Source organism: Homo sapiens, chromosome Y (genome assembly GCF_000001405.40).
Source record: "Homo sapiens chromosome Y, GRCh38.p14 Primary Assembly".
Classification (NCBI taxonomy): Eukaryota; Metazoa; Chordata; class Mammalia; order Primates; family Hominidae; genus Homo; species Homo sapiens.
This window is the reverse complement of record NC_000024.10, coordinates 13,919,522-13,940,786: the sequence shown is the minus strand read 5'-3', so window position 1 is coordinate 13,940,786 and position 21,265 is coordinate 13,919,522. Positions and strand designations below refer to the sequence as shown.

Below are 21,265 nucleotides of genomic sequence, written 5' to 3'. Positions count from 1 at the left end.
TTACATTTTCTCTTCTGTTTCTACCACCAGGGAAGTGTCTTTCTCTTTTTTTAATTTATTTATTTATTTATTTATTTATTTATTTATCTATCTATTTATCTATTTATTTATTTATTTATTTTTGAAGGAGTTTTGCTCTTGTTGCCCAGGCTGGAGTGCAATGGTACAATCTCAGCTCACCACAACCTCTGCCTCCCAGGTTCAAGAAATTCTGCCTCAGCCTTCTGAGTAGCTGGGATTACAGGTGTGCACCACCATGCCCGGCTAATTTTGTGTTTTTAGTAGAGACAGGGTTTCTCCATGTTGGTCAGGCTGGTCTCGAACTCCCAACCTCAGGTGATCTGCCCACCTCGGCCTCCCAAAGTGCTGAGATTACAGGCGTGAGCCACCTCGCCCAGCTGTGTCTCTCCTTTTGTTGAAGTTTTTCAAAATATTGATAAGAAATTTATGTGTAAGAAGCCACCTATATCTTTTCTGTCAGTGGGGAACTGTGGGTGATGGAGCTTTCCCCAAAATGAGATGTGGTGGTGTGCAGACTCCTGGAATTTTGCAAAATCCTTATTTTGTTTGAACTGTTTTGCTTTTAGTCAAATGAACTTCAGGCCAGTTTTCATTATATGGACAGACCACAGTTAGGTCATCTACTGTGCCGCAATTGCTGCAATAATGCTGAGCAAAAGGGATCATCCCAAAACCCAGCTATTCATAACATAAAACACTTGAATATTCATGGCTCTGCAGGGGAGCTGGGGCCACTCTCCTTCAAGCAGCAGTTGGTATTCACCTAAGGTTCACATGCCATTCCATTCTTTTTTTTTTAATTGATGGCTCTGTGGACATGCTGTCCTGACAGCAGATCACAGGAATACCAGAGTGGGAGGGGAAACATGAGGCTCCCTGAGACTTTGGCCCCAGGCCAGATCCTTATGCCATCACTCAATTCCCACTGGCCAATCCAAATCCTCTCACCAAGCCCAGTACCACCATGGCAGGAAGCAAAGGCGGCTCCCTGCTGCAGGGGACAGCATTGCAGAGCCACTATCCTGCATGGGTGCATCATTCTTGGAGCAGGAAGGCTGGAAGAATTGAGAACAGTGATTCAATCTTCCCATAATGATGACTGAGCTCTGTTCTCCATAAGCCTCTAGAGCAAGCTTGTCCAACCTACTGCCCACATGCAGCTCAGGACAGCCTTCCATGCTGCCCAACATGAATTTGTAAACTTTCTTAAATCATCACCAGATTTTTTTTGCTTTTTATTTTTATTTTTTTAGCTCATATGCTATTGCTAGCATTTGTATATTTTATGTGTGGCCCAAAACAATTATTTTTCTTCTAATGTGGCCCAGGGAAGCCAAAAGATTGGACACCCCTGCTCTAGAACTTCTGGGATATGTTTATTCATTGTTTTATTCTCCCCAGGTATATGAAGAGCATAACAAAAAAAGAAAAGGAAAGGAAAGAAGTGGAGGGGAGAGTGGGGAGGGGAGATTTGGGGAGGGGAGGGACAAAGGAAGAAAGGGGGGAAGGAAAGAAAGGAAGAAAAAAGAAAGGAAAGAAAGACAGAGAAAAGAGGAAAGAGAGGAGAGGAAGAAATGAAGAAAAGAAGAAAGAAAGAAAGAAAGAAAGAAAGAAAGAAAGAAAGAAAGAAAGAAAGAAAGAAAGAAAGAGAAAGAAAGAGAAAGAAAGAGAGAGAGAAAGAAAGAAAAAGAAAAAGAAAGAAAGAAAGAAAGAAAGAAAGAAAGAAAGAAAGAAAGGAAGGAAGGAGGGAGGGAAGAAAGAAAGAAGGGAGGGAAGGAAGAAAGAAAGAAAGATGGGTGAGGGGGAGAGGGAAGGATAGGAAAAAATGCAGAAAGAGAGAAAAGAAAAGAAAGAGAAAGAGAAAAGAAAGAGAAAGACGGAGAGAAAGAAAAAGAAAGAAAGAAAAAGAGAAGGAAGAAAGAAAGAAAGGAAAAGAAAAAGAAAGAGAAAGTCTTGAGTTAAAGTAAATTTCATTGGGCAAAAATCAAAACATTGTTATCCCACTTTATAGAGATAAGTAATTATAATTGCTTACATATACGTGTACCCAGTGTGTTTCTTCACCAACATTTTGGTAACAAAAAATGTAGCATTATCATGACTACCCCGCATTTAAAACCAAGATAATTGGTTGTCTTTCAGATTATCTACACCATGAACTGAATACAGAGGTGTTCAGTTGAAAATGCAAAATACTTTAAATATTTAAATATTATATCCACATGATCCCAAAATGTGACATTAATTATTTTGAGTAGTTTTTTATTAAATCAAAAGAATTAACTGAATTAATTTGTCTTGGTACACACTTTGAAACTCAAGTGAACTCAACCTCTGAAATCATTCTTGATTACGAACTCCTGAAAAAAACTCATCTCTACCAGATGACTAGATAAGCCGGAAAGAGGCTTTGGTGATTTTAAATAGAAATGCTCTCGTTATTCTTCTAAATACCATTTGAGAAAAAACCAGATAGTATAATGTGGGTTTCATCTAAATTCATATCTATTTCCTTTCTAAGCATTTAATCTCTGATGGCAATTCTTGCATTACAGGACTTAGTATCTGTGTAAGTAGATCATGTGGAGGAGGCAGAGGGATAATTTACCCATCTTTCATTAAACTGCCTTGGCATATTACAGCAGGGGCCCTAAACCCTTATTTATGAACTTTAAAAAGGATTACATTCCAGGTATCCCCCAATTTCCATCGGCTTGAATGCTACAGAGATAGGAACCACTTAGCCTTTCCAACCTCAGCTGCATCCAGTCTAAAACTACTACAGACTAATTCAGCAGTACATAGTATCTTTCTTTGCTTTGTTTTGGTTGGATTTTTTTCAAATCCGAAAATACGTGTAGATTCAGACTAAGTCATACCACCTATCATGAGGTGGGTCAAACTTCTCAGCTTATTTTTTCTGTCTCAAAATAGAAATGTCTTACGTTCTGATTTAGATTGTCCCAAGTTGGATTTCTGTTATTGTTGTTGAAGAAGATACTGACCTGAATTAACATCAGTCTCTAGCTGGGTCTGAATAAGACTCAACTTGGAGGTGAGGATCCCTAATACCTGTCAGCTATAGCCTTGAGAAACATTATTGGACAAAAACAAGAGCTGAGTAATGCCATTTGCAGCTGCATACTTCACAGGTACGGCAAAGCCTCTTTGCCCACAGCAAGCCGAGCTGGATATCGTGTCACTTTGTTCAAGATAATGGGTTGCAACCTGAATCACAATACAGATTTCAAGTTCTGTAATGTACACAATTCTCACCAAAGACTGTTACAAGAACAGTACAGATTTTTCTATTCTGGCCAAATTATATAATAGAATTACCTGCCTCTAGCCATTAGAATAGCTGGAGAGAAAACTGTGTTTTGTTTTTCAATATGAGAGAGGGAGAGAGAAAGTTAGTTTATGTTTCTTAGGAGCAGATATTGAGACCAAGATTTTAATGTGATCACTTTTAGGAGGGGATGTGAGCATAGGAAACATCAGAGGGAGAAGAGAAGACAAAGGAAGGAGCTTGGAAAGGGTGTGCTGTCCTATAATACAAGTGACTGCTGCAGGCAGTTGTAGCTTCATTCTGAGGAGTGTCTCCGAGACATAGAGCAGAGCACACACCTCAGCATTCTCATGCCCAAAACAAGAGGGGAGTTGGAGCTGATGGTCACCAATACCCTTCAGCCATTGCTGGAGGCCAGTGTAGGAGGCAGTGTCTCCCGGCATGTCCTGTACGCTTTGTGTTTTGCCGGAGCTGAACCGGGTGGCCAGAAAAGGCCCTTGGGCAAGAAGACACAGGTGCTGGGAGGTGGAAGACTGGAAGACCAGAGCAGTGTCCATGAAAATTATACAAATCAAGGAGATATGGGCAGGATATCTATACATCTATATCATCTACCTCTACAACTATAATTGTATCTATATCTATGTCTATAGTTATATTTCTATCTATGCATTTGCATTTATTTATTTTTTAGATGGAGTCTTGCTCTGTTTCCCAGGCTGGAGTGCAGTGGCATGATCTCAATTGACTGCTGCTTGTACCTCTCGGGTTCAAGCAATTCTCCTGCCTCAACCTCCCAAGTAGCTGGGACTACAGGCGCATGCCACCATGCCCAGCTAATTTATATATCTTTTTAGTAGAGTGGGGGTTTCACCATGTTGGCCAGGCTGGTCTCAAACTCCTGACCTCAAGTGATCCTCCCACCTCAGCCTCTCAAAGTGCCAGGATTGCAGGCATGAGCCACTGTGCCTGACCTGCATTTGTATTTATGGATACATGTGTGTATGTGTATATTTATACACATGCTGGCTGTGACTTAACCAAAACAAAATCCTATAAAGTAAAATGTCCAGATTTTACAAAACATTTTCATAAACAACAAAAACTTGGTATCAAGAACACAAAATGACCTCAAACCCCAATCATTTGTAAATTGAGTGATCTACTTGTAAATTTAATAAAAACATGGTATTAAACAATATTCAGATTAAAGGGAACGTCATAACAGGTATGTCTGTTATCTAGGAAGTAAAGGGCTGATTCTGTATGCCAAAATCTATGATAAACCTGTTTATACTCACAAGCTTTCATTATTAAAATGAAAAAAGACTGAACATAAGTGAAATAATTATTCAATATAAGAAACTAGAAAAAATAATTAAAATACTAAAATAAAAGAGAATAAAGATAAAAATGGAAATTACTAAAATAGTATAAATAGTAGCCAACAGAAATATATCCAAACATCATTTCTCTGAAAATAACTACAAAACAGAAAAAGTACTAGCATATTAGATTAAGAAAAAATAAGATGGCACAAAGAAATGAATGAGATTATGAATAAAAAGGCAATAAAATCACAGATTTAAGAGATTAAAAGAAATAAGGCATAGTCTATGTACTTCTACAGCAATAAATATGAGAATTCTGAAGTAAATGTCTAGTTTCTTGCAAAAATATTCAAACTGGCTTCCCAAAGAGGCAGAAAACTGAATCTACAAATAAAGAAAAGTGTTGAAAAGGTAATTAAAGAGATGCCAGGTAAAAAATAATATACATCAGACCCAGATGGTTTCACAGTTGTGTTCTATTTGAGCTTTAAAGAACAAATCATTTCTATGTAACATAAACTTTTCTAGGCTAAAGAAAAAGCTGGAAAATTGCCTGATTTCATGATGTTAGTGTAACTTTTAAGCTATAACTTGCCAAGGTGAGTGGAAAATAGTGAAAAAAATTGTAGGATAATTCTATATGCTTACTGTGCATGGTTAGATGCAAACATTCTAAATTACAACTCGATAGAATCTACTATATTCAAGAGAATGACCAATAATTTTAATATAGGATGAAAGCATGAATGAATGGCTTAAGATCATTTATTTTATTAAATTAAAGGAGAAAACCATCTGCTTATATTCATGGGAGGTGATGGTGGAAAGACATTTGGTAAATTGCCTAAAAATGTGAGGCTATTCCTAAAAAATCTCTAGGTAAGATAGGATTAGAAGAACATGACCATTACTTAACAGCAAATATCACTGGAAAGAAAAAAGCAATTATATATTTCTTTAAAAATCAAGGGAAAAAATAGAGAATGACCACCAGTACCACTCTTACTTAACATGGCTTTGAAGATTCTTGATAAGGCAGAAAGATAAAGCAATTGTTAAATTATTAACATATATTTTAAAGCTACAACAATGTTTAGTTTGCAGATGCTGACACTAAATATCTAGAAAATTGAAAAAAAAATTAAAGGTACTTAAGAATCAGTCAGGCAGAGTAGTAAGATGAATGATATAAGCTGTATATGTCAAAATTGTCTTGCATTTTATTCCAATAGTATAAATTTTAAAATTAGATTATATTTTTACTCATAATAGCAGCTAAAACTACAGAATAATAAAATAGACTTTAATATACATAGATTTCATACACACCTATATATGTTTTTTCTTTTCATAGTCAGTCGTGTGTGTGTGTGTGTGTGTGTGTGTGTGTGTGTATAAACATATATTTCCAGGAACTTTGTGCTTATAGTGAAGGACAAAGCCACATCCTCAATGAATGAAGAAATATAAAATATTCCTTGTTGGGGGAATGAAAAAGAGTGGTGCAACCTATTAATTTAATACAATTCCAGTGATTTCAAATAAACTATATATTTGCACAAAGGATCATAGTTATACTTTGATTCCTTAAAAAAAGGGAAAATAACCATGCTTAGAAAATGCATCTATACTTTTCACACAGCAAATGTACTGAAAGATCTTCATTTGATTAAATAATTTTTCATGTTTGAATGGAAACCACAAGATCTGTATAACAGACATGTTCTTAGAGTCTGAGAATGCTTCCTTGATACCAGCCAGTTTCAGCTGACATCTAGCAATTCTAGTATTCATGTCAACTTGCTATAACAACATCAGGATACTTCATAAAGCAATTGTTGAAAAAAAAAGTCAAACCCTGTAAAATATTTGAAGAGATTTATTCTGAGCCAAGTATGAGTGATCAATGTCCCATGACACAGCCCTCAGGAGGTCCTAAGAACATGTGCCCAAGGTGATCAACTTGGTTTTGTACAACAAGACTACAACTTGGCCTTGCACATTTTAGGGAGACATAAGACATTAATCATAACATAACATAACATAAGATATATACATCTTATATGTATATTGGTACCTTGGCTCAGTCTGGAAAGGCAAGACAACTAGAAGGTGGGGGGCTTCCAGGGCATAGGTAGATTCAAAAATGTACTGATTGGCAATTGGTTGAACGAGTTATTAACTAAAGACCTGGAATCAATAGAAAGGAATGTCTGGGTTAAGGTAACGGGCTATGGAGACTGAGGTTTTATCATAAAGTTGAAGTCTCCAGGTAGCAGGCTTCAGCGAGAATAGATTGTAAATGTTTCACAACAGACTTAAAGAGTCTGTTCTATCAGTCTTAAGGTCAGCTGTGTCTGAATTGTAGAAGGGAAGAGGGAATAATGAAGCATGTCCAACTCCCCCTTCTTATCATTGCCTGAACTAGTTTTCCAGGTAAATTTTGGAATTTCCTGGGCCATGAACTGGGGTCCCTTCAGATGGTTGGAGGGCTTAAATTTTTATTTTTGGTTTACACTATATTGTAGCCGGGTATGCTGGCTCATTCGTTTAATCCCACTACTTTGGGATGCTGAGGCAGGAGGATCACTTGAGGCCAGGGGTCAAGACCAGCCTGGGCAGCATGGTGAGACTCCTGTCTCTACAAAAATATTCGAAAATTAGGCAAGCACAGTGGCATGTACCTGTAGCCCTAGCTACTTGGGAAGCTAAGGTGGGAGGATTGCTTGAGCCTAGAAGTTTGAGGCTGCAGTGATCTATGATTATATCACTTCACTCCAATCTGGGCAACACAGCGAGACCCTGTCAAAAAATAAAAAAAGAAAGAAAGAAGAAGAAAGAAAAGGAAAGAAGGAAAGAAGAAAGAAAGAAAGAGAGAGAGAGAGAGAGAAAAGAAAAGAAAAAGAAAGCTGTATTGCCTCCGAGTTTATATGTTAATAAGTTTTATGTTCTGAAAATAAAAAAAAAAAAATCTGTCCTAAAAATTATGCCTGCCAAAATCAGGATTAAAAAGATCCTGAAGAAAGACTTCTCACTTTGCTAATATGTGCAGAGTTTGCATTTTATGAGTTCTATTTCATTCATTTACTTGGTTAATCAGTGATTTATGGTTGGCCAATGATTTCAAGATGAGATGAAATTTGTTAAAGTCATGAAAAGGCAAGCCATCAAACTTCAAGGGACTTCCATCTACACAGCCCCTGAACATTGTCTTGATCATCTGGTGTTGCAAATGCCCTTTTGATGGAGCTTAAATAAGATCAGTTGGACTGAGAAAGATTGCTTGATGTAGAGCCATTGAAACAAGCTGAGTGTCTTCCAAGGCAGGACATCCAATCCATCTCGGATGATAACCTTTTGCAAGGCAGGATGTCCAGTCCATCTCAGATGATAACCCTTCAGGCATCCATCCTGGTGAGCATTGTTTAACCTTCCCCTGTGGTCACAGTGCAAGCTAATACTGCTAGCTGCAAAGCTTCGTAAGGGTTGTTCCAATGCAGAGGCTCCCAGGAATTGAGGGATGAGATGAAAGTGGGTTCTGCATAATGGCCCGGGCAGTAATGCTGTTGTGAGAAACTCCACTAAACTTCAGGAGGAGAACAGAGCCAGTGTTCAGCGACCTTCTTCCACAAAAGCTGGTGAAAAGTCCTTTTTTTGTTTGTTTTCTTTTTCATGCTACAAATTCACTTTGCATTTAATTCCAACCTCTGTGTTTGTTGGATATCTCTTGTCTACATCTATGGTTATTTCCAAAATAAAAAGTAACATGTTTAAAGAATAAGGCACTTTCAAGGAAAAACAGACTTATTTCTACTGAATAAAAATTGTTCCCAGTAACAACCGTGCCTAAAGAAGTTATAAATCTGTCTTTAATTTTACAATGATAAATGAAAAATGTTGACTTTTTCAATCAAACAGTTTATTGCAACCACCATACTATCATGAAGAATGAAGTCCATGGAGAGAGGAAAGATATAGAAAATTGCAGAAAAACATGACCAGAATTTTTATCAATATATGTTTAAATCATACCTTGCCTCTGAAATTTTCAGTTACATGAACCAATAAATCCCATTTATAATTTAAAAAAACAAACAAACTGGTAATTAAGATTGTTTATTGTTGTTGGTTGTGTTAAACAATGAATGCAAAAAATAGTTTGCTGTAATATACAGATAACACTTAAATAAATGTGCCATTAATGGAGAAAAGGTGACTTTTTCCCAGGACCAACCTCTTGCCCTCTTCATTTCCATCTGATGTTGTTCAAAACAGTCCACTAGCAAATACAGTTGTTTTGTTGGTGGTGGTTGTTTTTAGAGACTGCCCATGCATATATACCTGTTACTACATGAACAGTTAAAAAAAAATAGGGAGAGAGAAATACTTGTCATTCAAAATAAGCTCTCATTATATTCTCCAGTGGCGTGTCTCTTGTTCTTTCACCACGTTTCATAAACCTTCCTGCATGACCATCTTCACATTGGCGTAATTCTTGCTCTCTGTCTTTCCTCCTCCTCTGGCTTTCCTGGGCCACAGGGAGAATCAGCATCTTCAATATAGATTAATGCATGTGGCCCTGATTCCATCAGGAGGCAAAGTGAGAACTGCAGGAAAGGCCGGTGGTCTCTCCCATTCTGAATTATATTTTAGGTCCCCTGCAACAGTCACTAAGAAATCTATCTCTTTAGCAGGCACTCCATAATAGTGCAGAATAGAAGAGTTTAAAAAAGAAAAGAAAAGGAAAGGAGGAAAAGATGAGTGAGGATCCAAAGCTTTCTGAACAGGACATTAGTTTTTGCTGCCATGCAGCGTCCAGGAGACAGCTAAATGTTACAGCAGGACCAACCTCAGCAGGAACCAAACCTGGTTCCATTCCTCAGGGCAGGTCTGGTGCCTGCTATCTTGAAGGTCAGAACACCCCATCTGGATTATGTAAGATTTCAGGAAAAATTATTTTATCTCCTTATAAATCATTGAGACATTCAACATTATTTATTTGTTAGTTCATGAATCTGACATTTCTGAAATGCTTATTTCCTTGGAGAAAAGGCTGGAAAATTGCATAACAAACAGATACACTGCCCTACATAATTCTCAGCTCTGTATACTGGAGTTTGGATATTCCGAGGAAATGGAAATGCTACTGAGAGATATTTCCCTTCTTAAAGAAGTGTCTCCTCATACAGGCCTCACTTATCCACAAAGTGAGCTGGAAAATGCTCAGGAGTTGTTTTTATCACCCCCTGGAGGTAATTCCATAGGCAGTCCTAACCTGGCTGTACTCTAGTGATTGTTGTCTCATTTGATGGTCTTCAATGTAGAGTGAGGTTTATAAGAAAACAGATTAGATGTAAGAAGATAGTTCTTGAAATTCCACTCGTATTTATCTCTACCTAAACAGTTAAGGGAGTGATTAAGACATGCTATGCTGATTTGTAACAGTTGGCTTGACGTTGACTGCACATTTGGTACTATGACAGTCAGGATGCATAATTTTCTTGAAATTCAAAGCATCCTAAGGGCACACTTGTAGTCTGTGAACCACAGAGCAGCCTTGACTGGGCTTTTAATTTACTTAGCCCTCAACTTTCAGTGTCCTGTGACATATGCATAGTTAGGCAGATTTGTGCATTATTTCATCTAGGTTTAACTGATCTTGCCCACACAAAATGAATATGTAGCTTACAATTTTCCTGGGAAAGAACTATGGAATCACAATATTTGTCCATATTTCAAGTCCAAGAGAGGAAGATAATAGCTCAGTTGATTCTTGGATTTAATTCTAATAGCAGATTTTCACGATCCATAGTATGAGGTTAACAAAGCACCCATGTAATGAGATGGGCCGAGCAATTGCCTGCAGAATCTGAAGTTATCAAGAGCATTATTTGAAATGGAAATTTGCATCAATGATTGTTAGCCATGAACCTTATACCTCGAGATCATCTCAAACTGTATTATTGAGCCATCATAATCAGCAAGACAATTGGAAGTCAGCGCTCCTGGACAATATCAATGCTAATATATATTTTTAATGAAAACAAAAGGGAATATGTACCATTTGTAAATAAAAATATATGAAATAATATTTCCACATTATAATTTCATCTCTTAACCTCATCTTTTTTTCTACTTCTGTGTTGGTTTTACAGTATAAATTATATGTGAGTACACTAATGCATACCTATACTTTGTAAAGTAAGAAATGCCAACCAATTGAGAATGAATACCTTAAACATTTCTACTGTTGGGAGTAAATGAACAAAAACTTTGGAGTCCAAGGATCTGCTTGCTGGGAAAGAGTCTGGGCATAGGAAGCCCACCTCCCTTAGTGTTGCACTCCACCAGTCCTGCTCTGTGAAGCTACTATTGTTTGTTTCGAGAGCGCTCTTTTTGGGTTTTTTGTAAAGGTATGTAGAAGCCAATAAATTGCCACAAATGAACCAAAATAATTATTAACATCCTGTACCAAGATTTTCCAAAATCCCCAAAATAATTCCCTGTAATGGTGTCGTAAGTATTACCAATGCTAAGAATGCATCCTATTAGACAGGAAAACTAATCTGAGCATAAACTTGCATCCTCTTGTAATAAAATTAGGCTTTAGATACCTTAAGAACCTTCACCCACATCTATCCGGCCTCCTTTGAAAATGGGAAGGTGCTGAAAAAATGGTTAAAAAGACGATCTCTATTTTTCAGGTATTTAATTAAATTATTCAACCCGAAATAGAAATAGAAACAGGAGCTCCCTTTGTCCAATCTTAGATCTCTCCCTCTGTTCCCACTACAGCAATCCCAATTCCATTACATAATACACACATCTACCCCATACAGAGCCACCTAAATTTGACCTTCACACTCATTCCAATGCCTGAATTAGAATGCATCCATTCTTGAAGCAAAAAGCAATGAACAGTCAGGCATGGAGGCTCATGCCTATAATCCAGCACTTTGGGAGGCCAAGGCAGGTGGATCATGAGGTCAGGAGTTTGAGACCAGCCTGGCCAACATGGTGAAACCCCATCTCTACTAAAAATACAAAAAAAAAAAAAATGTAGTCGGGCATGGTGGCGCATGCCTGTAATCCCAGCTACTCAGGAGGCTGAGGTGGAAGAATCGCTTTAACCCGGGAGGTGAACGTTGCAGTGAGCTGAGATCATGCCACTGCACTCCAGCCTGGGTGACAGAGTGAGACTCTTGTCAAAAAAAAAAAAAAAAGCAAAGACCAATGACCAGCATCTCTTTATATGCACCTTGGTTTTTTCTACAGGACCTAAGTAATAAAAGCTGAAAGCCTCTCCCCATAGTCTCACTATCCTTTTTTAAAAATAAGAATCTTTGGGAAACTTCAAGAGGACATGACATTGGGGCTGGAAATTAGAAAGCAATGAAGAACTATGAGGCTTCAGTTGTGTTCAGTCTTGGACCAGTGAGGAGAGATGGGCCTGAAGCTCCCCATGGAAAACCCGTGAGGTTTTCTAACAACTATGGAAGTGCCCAAAACGAAGATGATACCAAGGGTTATACTGCTGGGAATTCCATTTCCCAGGCTCTCCAGTGCTCCCCTCTTATGGGCCAGCTAACCACTATTTATAAGGATGCAGTACAGAGAATTGTTAACAGCAGACCTATAGACAGACACTGATGAGCTATCATTTGAAAGCGTACAATAATCACCTATATTAGTAATTCAATAGCTCAATCATAATACTTCAATGCACTATTTTTCAGTTGCAAATCAAAACAAAATCATCATTACTGGCTAATAATAGGTGATTATGTTGATTAAACAAACTTAGAGTGTTTTGTTGGTTAACAGACATGGGGATCTCACCACCCACAACTCATGTAATATTTTCTAAACAACATCTAATTAAAAGATCATATGAACAAAATGTCTTGTATCTAACACCATGATTCGTCTGTTACAAAAATTATGCATGAGACAAGGAAAGACATAAAACTCTGCAAGTTGTTTTCAAGGTTTGATTTTAAAACAAAAACAAACAAAACCTTTACTCTTGCTTCCATTGTCAAATTGTTGTTGTTTTCTTTCTCTTTTCTTTTTTTTGCACATTGGAATGTTTTCCACTTCTAACCTGACTACCTTTGGGAATTATTTAGTAGTAAATAATTATCGTCTTAAACCATGGCATGAGATTAATTGGGGGAAACAGAAAATTATCTTCATGTGGAAAAGCAATAATAGCATGTCTTGAAACTACTCAGTCAATAAACATTTCTTATGTTGAGAATAATTATATATATATATTTCACATTTGAGATAGTTCATTCGATAATCACTTATTTCTATATGAAATATGGTAAGAATATTGGGAAACATTTGCCCATGAAAAATACCCACAACATGCGTTTTCAATTCATAGCCTAATTTGACTTGGCAGACATTTTGCAGTCAGAAGCATGGGATTGAGCCAAATCTAACCTCACCACTTTTATTGTATCAAAACCCGGAATATTTCATCATAGCAAACCTGCAAAAGGGGTTTCTTTTTAATTATCTTCTTAAAACATTTAGCATTACAAATTCATCATGCAGTTAGCTATTTGCCTGGAAGTTATCACACATGGGAAAAATGCCAATATTTGCAAACCCCAGGGTGGTGAATCGCTGCAAACAAAACTGATGACTATATAGAATAATTGTTGTCAAGCCTTTGACAAAGTCCTGAAAAATGTGTCTCCTGATGTTTTCAAAATGTACTCTGAAATTAAAAAGTACATTTAACTTTCTTTGTAAAAAGAAAATGTTTATAAATTATCCCATTACCTAGAGAAGGAAGAGAAGAGAGAAAAAGGAATAGCTTTTGTAAGAGAACTTCAGGGTTAGCTATATTCTTTAACATACATGCCAGTGGTCAAACCTAAGGAGTCTTGCAAGAAAGTTAGGTGCAGCCAAATTGCAGGTCTTCAGTTCTGCATGGAGAGTCTGAACAAAAACACATGGTAGTGATTGTCTCTCCAGCTGCATATTAGAATCAATTCAAAATCTTTCAGAACATCCTGCTGTTCAGATTCTGATGGAATCAGTAAAGTGTAGCTCAAAAAACAAAAACAAAATGGAACCAAAAACACCTCAAAAATATCAAGTCACATTGACATTTAACTCACTCTCTACCTCTACATAGATAATATATTTAGTATCCTATACATTTACTATCATATACATTTCATATGTATATCAAATTTCATACTTATATGCATAGTATTCCATACATATATACACAGTATTTATACACACATACAACATATTTTATGATATATAATATTCTAATATATATAGTATCTCATGCATATATATAATACATAGTACTCTGCATATAAATAGTATTTCATGCAGAAGTATAGCATATTTCACACATATATCATCTATGCATGTATACAGAATATTTCATACACATATGCATATTTACCCATACATTTATATACACATATATAAAACCATGTGCTTACTTGCTACAAACTATGTAGTATCTTTTGCTACTTGCCCTTATTGGAGGACAGTCTGACAGGCAGAAAAGATTAACGGTTAACTACAAGGACACCGGAACTCAATGGCCTGGGCTTATTTTCAGGCTCTGCCACTAGGTAGCTATATGACTTTGGGCTACTGTTTTTTTGTTTTGTTTTGTTTTGTTTTGTTTGATGGAGTCTCACCCTGTCACCCAGTCTGCAGTGGTGCAATCTTGGCTCACTGCAACCTCTGCCTCCTGGGTTCAAGGGATTCTCCTGCCTCTGCTTCCCTAGTAGCTGGGATTACAGGCCATGCCACTATGCCCGGCTAATTTTTGTATTTTTAGTAGAGAGGGGGTTTTGCCATGTTGGCCAGGCTGGTCTCGAACACCCGACCTCAGGTGATCCACCTGCCTTGGCCTCCCAAAAGTCTGGGATTACAGGCATGAGCCACCACAACCAGCCTGGGCTATTGGTTTAAATGATCTTTGCCTCACTGTCCTCAGCTTTAAAATATGGCCAGCCATAGGGTGGCTGTAGAAATGAATGAAGGAATGTCAGTAATAAACTTAGTGTACCTTACAATTAGTGGTTCCTCAGTAAATATTAGCTGTAGAGGTTAATTCTATTAGTGGTCTCTCAAGTAAACTACAAAAAGCTAAAGACAGGGCCTTGTGAACCATCCTATGCCATACTGACTTGGACCACCCTACAAAGGAATGTAAGATGCTTCCCATTATTCATAATGAAGCCAATTGCATAAGATTGGCTGCTGTTTGAGATGGGGAAGGAAATATAGGGGATGAAAAGGTCAAGTCGGCATCCGTTTTGTATTGCATGATAGTCTGATGCTGTAAATATAATGACTGATTAACTCTAATTGGCTGTCTCTGTGACTGCCCTTAAATCACTACCAGCTGCCCCTTGAAAGCTATTTCACAAGGCTCAGAAAAGAGAAGTCGTTTCTACTAATAACACTCTACAGCATCCCAAATTATATTTGCCTAGCCCTATATTTTATCAGTATTTCTCAGGATAAATTCCGAATTATACTCAAAAGAAGATTGAAAGGAAGATGCCTTTGATAGCTTTATCTATATTTATCTACATGTGTATGTATTTGCATGCATTTTCATGTCTGCATCTACATCTTTATATATAACTTAATCCAGGGAATTTGAGGAGAAAAACTTCAGTATATTCTGGTGCACTGAGATAAAAATGCGATGCTTCAATATGACTTTTTGCTTCTTCAGCTCTGCAAGTAGGAATGTTTCTAACATTTATCATTCAATAGCTTCTCGTGGTCTGGAAGAGTAGTTTGTGGCACTGGGCACATATTAGAATCACCTGGGGACCCTTTAAACTAGCACTAGTGTGCAATGTCGATACTTCTTTCCTGATCTTTAGGTGCCAGAGGACACTGGACTTCTTAAAATCTCCCCTGGGAGTTCTATTAGGCAGCCAGTTTTGAAAGCCTCTGACCCAGGGTCAGAGTCATGCTAATAATCAGAGTCAATTGTGCAAAACTCAATCTTTAAGTATTACCTTAATCTGAAACTCGATTATTCTTTCTACTTTGGGCAATCTTTAGTTTTCCAACCAATAAAGGATTTCACTGTTCTTTTTCTTTTCTCAAATCCATGTCTAGACTACAAATGTGCACCAGGATTTCTCTCAGTGAACTCATTTTTCAAATCTATAGATTTTCCATATTCAAACATCTTGTTTCCTTTGACAAGATGGATTTTTCTAAACAGACTTGTTATGTGCTCGGCCACTTTATGAAAACAATTCACTGACAGAAATTGAAGATGGCATCACATGCATATTGAGTAGATCATTCCTAGAATGTTAAAGTTAAAATCAGCACAAAGTAAGTTGCACTCAGCCCTGGGGAAATGTGCAAAAATATGCCATACCTCCTGAAAACTAATTTCTTTAAGTCATTCTGTGTCCCTCAGAGGTTTATCTACTTAAAACACAACGACTCATTTGTGTAAACAGATTGCAAATAATTTGCGTGTAAAATTGAATAGAACCAGGTACATGCAAACACCTACACACACAATACTGTGTGTATATCAAACCTATGAGATCTGAATAAAGGATATGGTTTGTATCAATGTCAATTTCCTGGTTGTGATACTATACTGTAGTTTTGAAAGATGTCACCATTGTGGGAAACTAAATGAAGTGTTCAGGATAATTCATAATCTCTATTATTTCTTATAATTGCATGTGAGTCTACAATTTTCTCAAAATACAAAGTTAAAAAAAAAAAGAAAGAGGGAGAGACTCCTTTAAAGAAGATTGGCAAATGACATAAGGCTTGGATTTGAATTTAAATTTCACAAAACGCAGGGAGCCTTGGACTCCACATTGTTCCTTATCAGTTCTAGTTCTCCCAACTACTTCAATTTCATATATAGAATATATGTAACATTTACTCAATAATATTAACTCTATCGTGTTCCCATTTCAAAATTTGCTGTGGCATCTAAATCAGACCTCTGGCCCTTAGTTATGATGCAAACGAATTGTAGTCTTCAATACTTATGTCTTTGGTTTCATGGTCTGTCCTTCTCTCCCCACCCTTATCTTATTCTTTCTTTGCCTTACTTTCTAAATGCCCTCTTCATTCTATTTTGTTTCCATTCTTAGATTTTGCTTTTGCAAATTCTTCTCACTGTGTTCTCTGTAGATTAGAACCTTCTATTACACAGATCTTACATAAACTGCTCACTTTCCTCATCTTATTCTAAATTTCATTCCGTCACTGCCAGGGATTGAATATCAAGAAGCATTGGTACAAATACGACCAACTCAATTTTCTATTACTTGCTCTAAATTGTTTTAGGGATTACAAACCTTCCACTCCCCCACCTTAGTGATTTGGCATTTTAATTTTTTTATCTGATTAATTCCATTTTCTTTTTCTTCTTTTAAGTTTTATTTTAGGTTCAGGGGTACATATGCAAGTATGTTATATGGGTAAACTCTTGTCACAGAGGTTTGTTGTACAGATTATTCCATCACCTATGTACTAAGCCTAGTACTCATTAGTTATTTTTCCTGATCCTGTCCCTCTTCCCACCTTCCACCCTCAAGTAGGTCCCAGTATCTGTTCTTCCCCTTTTTGTGTTCATGTGTTCTCATCATTTAGCTCCCACTTATAAGTGAGAACATGTGGTATTGGCTTTTCTGTTCCTGTGTTGGTTTCCTAAGGATGATGGCCTCCAGGGCCATCTATGTTCCTGCAAAGGAGATAATCTTTTTCTTTTTTGTGGCTGCGTAGTATTCCATGGTGTGTATGTACCGTATTTTCTTTATACAGTCTACAAGTGATGAGCATTTAGGTTGATTCTATGTTTTTGTGATTGTCAATAGTGCTGCAGTGAACATTTACATGCATGTGTCTTATGGTAGAATGATGTATATTTCTTTGGAAATATATCCAGTAATGGGATTGCTGGGTCAAATGGTATTTCTGCTTTTAGCTCTTTGAGGAATTGCCACACTGTTGTTCACAATGGTTGAACTAATTTACACCCCCACCAACAGTGTATAAGTATTCCCTTTTCTCTGCAGCCTTGCCAGTACCTGTTGTTTTTTTCTTTTTAATAAAACACCCATTCTGCCTGGTGTGAGATGATCTTTCATTGAGGTTTGGATTTGCATTTCTCTAATGATCAGTGATATTGGGCTTTGTTGTATATGCTTGTTGGCCACATGTATGTCTTCTTTTGAAAAGTGTCTGTTCATATCCTTTGCCCACTCTTTAATGAGATTTTTTTCTTGTACGTTTGTTTAAGTTCCTTATCGGTGCTGGATGCTGGGTATAAGACCTTTGTTAGATGCATAAGTTGCAAATATTTTCTCCCATTCTCTAGTTTGTCTATTTACTATGTTGGCAGTTTCTTTTGCTATGAAGAAGCTCTTAAGTTTAATTAGATCCTATTTGCCAACTTTTACTTTTGTTGTCATTGCTTTTGGTGTCTTCCATCTGACATTTTTAGACACACACACACACACACACACACACTTGGATTTTTCCAAGCACTGTTACATGACCATCTTCACAGTAACCATGAAGTGAGTGGCAAAATCCTTATTAGGTGGGAATACCAAGGCAGAGAAAGGATAGGCAGGCACACTTTCTGTGTTTCCGCACAAGAGAAGGCACTATTTTTATTATTTTTTTTTTTTAGACAGGGTCTCATTTTGTCATCCAGGCTGGAGCTCAATCATGTGATCATAGCTCACTGCAGCCAATACCTCATGAGCTCAAGCGATTCTCCTTCCTCAGCCACCCAAGTAGCTGGGACTACAGGTGTGCACTACCATGTCCAGCTAATTTGCCATTTTTTTTTTGCAGAGGTGGGGTCTCTTTATGTTGCCCAGGCAGGCACCAAGTGATCCTCCCACCTCAGCCTCCCAAACTGCTGGGATTGCAGGTGTGAGCCATCATGCTTGGCCTCTTACTCTTTTTTAAAATTTTTCTTGTATCCCCCTACAGCTTTTCCTCCTTTGATACCATGCTCCGTCAATGGGTGGTATATGTAAAAGTTGTCTCCAATTTACAACAAAGCTGTATTCTCAGGACTCATTTGTGTAAAAAAAAACCTCCCCAATGGAAACAATACTAAAAATATTTCTTGGGTTTTCAGTCCCTGCCAGGACACTCCACTGGCCCTGAGAAACTGTTTACCCTGTGGTGTAGCTCAAGAAGTAAAATAATGTGAAGGAAGTTGGATTCTTATTGCAAACTTCAAGCCCGATCTCTGGGTCAGCAGCCCCAGCTTCTCTGATCTTTGATGAAGAATGGAGGTTGGAGACCAGTGTGAGGTGCCCAAGCTGTGCAGCTGATTGGCTGGGTGAAGCCTCAAACAATGAGTGGATAAGAACTCCCAGGAAAACTCCCAGGAATTTCAGGCCTCAGGGACTGGGAAGAATCAAGCCTGGGGCCACTTGCATGGGTGCTCATGCTGTAAGGTGTGGCAGCAGCCATTGAAAGAAATCAAAATATTTCACCCCCAAATAACCCTTCTTTGACATATTTAGAGATGGCTGTTCAGAGGGCCTGAAAATAACAGCCCTACAAAGCCGTCTTTTGTGGGGGAAATTTGCATCTGTAGATGTAGAGAAAATCTGCATTGATGCATTTCTGCAGCCAGGCTTTCTCTGACACCCACTCCCTGCCCCCGTGTCTGGATCTAGGAAAAATTAACTAAAAGCCTAACACCTTTAAGGTCTGAAAGAAACAGTCACCATCGATTCTCTCTAAAGGCTGCGACCTGGGAGGTTTCATCTGCGTAACAAAACCACCTTTGCTAGTCAGGACTTCTCTTCTCTCCCTCCCATAAATTGTGTTGCCAAGATCCAAGCCTCCATTCTTTCTGTAACCTCAAGATGGCATAAAATTGTCAAGCAATCCTCCACTGAGAGCCTTGATAAGCTGCTTCCATATCTCTACTATTGTGAATAGTGCTGTGATAAACATGTATTCTTTTTCATATAATGATTGCTTTTTCTCTAGGTAGATACCCAGTAGTGGGACTGCTAGGTCAAATGGTAGTTCTATTTTTAGTTCTTTGAGAAATCTCCACATTGTTTTCCATAGAGGTCATGTTAATTTACATTATGACCAACAGCATATAAGTGGTCCCTATATACACAATGGAATATTATTCAGCCATAAACAAGAATGCAGTCATGTCTTTTGCAGCCACATGGATGGAATGGAGGCCATTATCTTAACTGAAATGACGCAGACACAAAAAGACAAATGCCACATGTTCTCATTTATAATTGGGAACTAAATAAGGTGTACACATGGACATAGAATGTAGGATAATTGACAATAAACACTTGGAAGAGTGGGAGGGTCAGAGGCTGGGAGAGTGGGAGGAAAAAGAAATTACTTAATGGGTACAATATTTATAATTTCAGTGAATACCCTAAAAGCCTTTATTTCTTATGCTTTTTTTCCTTAGGCATTTTTTCCAACTCATCAGCAGTTATGGGTCAATTGCATGTCAAAGTGGGGATGTACAAGCCTCTCAAAACTCTATTTAGATAATGGAGATTTAAAGGCTTATAGTGTAGTACGTAGTATTGAAAAACAATTGAGTAGGATTGAAATATAGGTGAATGCTTATTGGCATTGCATATCCTACAATTTTAGGAGTAAATATTGGTGGCAAAAGAAAAACAGCTTAAAATTGTATATCCTTGACTTAATATACCACTGAAACCATCAGGAGTTACAATTGTAAACATGATGATAGAAACCTAAAGTGTTGGTTGTCAAACTCCAATATACTTTCATTAGGATGAAGTGCTGTCTTGTTAACATTTACCAGACCTCAAATTCCATTAACACTGACATGGAAAGAGAGCTTTTGAATCTCCTTGGCAGCAGGAACTGTCCATTTTTCTTCTTAAATTCAATAAAGTTTCTTTTCTTTTTTTTTCTTTAAGTTTGGAGACAGGGCCTTGCTATGTTGCCCAGGCTGGTCTCAAACATTCAGGACTCAAGTGATCCTTCTAATTCAGTCTCCTGAGTAGCTGAGACTACAGGTGCATGCCACTTGCCCAGCAAAAATGTTTCTTTAAGAAATAAATGAGTCGACTCCTTGGTGTGGTTTATGGATACTTTATTATTGAACCAGTTTGTACAAACTCTAACATAAAAATAATGAGTCACAGAATATCAAGACTATTTACAATTTTTTTGTTTTTTACAAAACATTTTTACAAGATTACTTCTCTCTAAATAACATGACAGACATACACAAAAATCCAACTTTTTTTATTACATACATAAATAAATAAATATTGACTTTAAATGACCACTGTAAGGAACATGAATTCTACAGACCACTTGGATGAGAAGGTAGTAGTTTTTTTATCTGCACACTACAATATAATTAAGTAAAGGGGAAAAGTAACTTTATGTAGACCTCTGTTAATCACTCCGTAAATCATATAACTCGCTAAAATATTCAGTAGAGGTAAGACAGTCATGACCATCCTTTCTGTACCTGACACCGAGTCTGGCCATGCAAAATCACAGGTAAGAGTCAACATCTTTATATATCTGTTTATAATATATCTTATAATATATTATATTATATATATAT

The 21,265-nt window shown here is 37.4% G+C and overlaps 1 pseudogene; it reads right to left on the bottom strand.

Annotated features, from left to right (window-relative positions):
- ANOS2P (anosmin 2, pseudogene) overlaps positions 20,765-21,265 on the bottom strand; it is a 168,317-nt pseudogene continuing 167,816 nt past the window's right edge.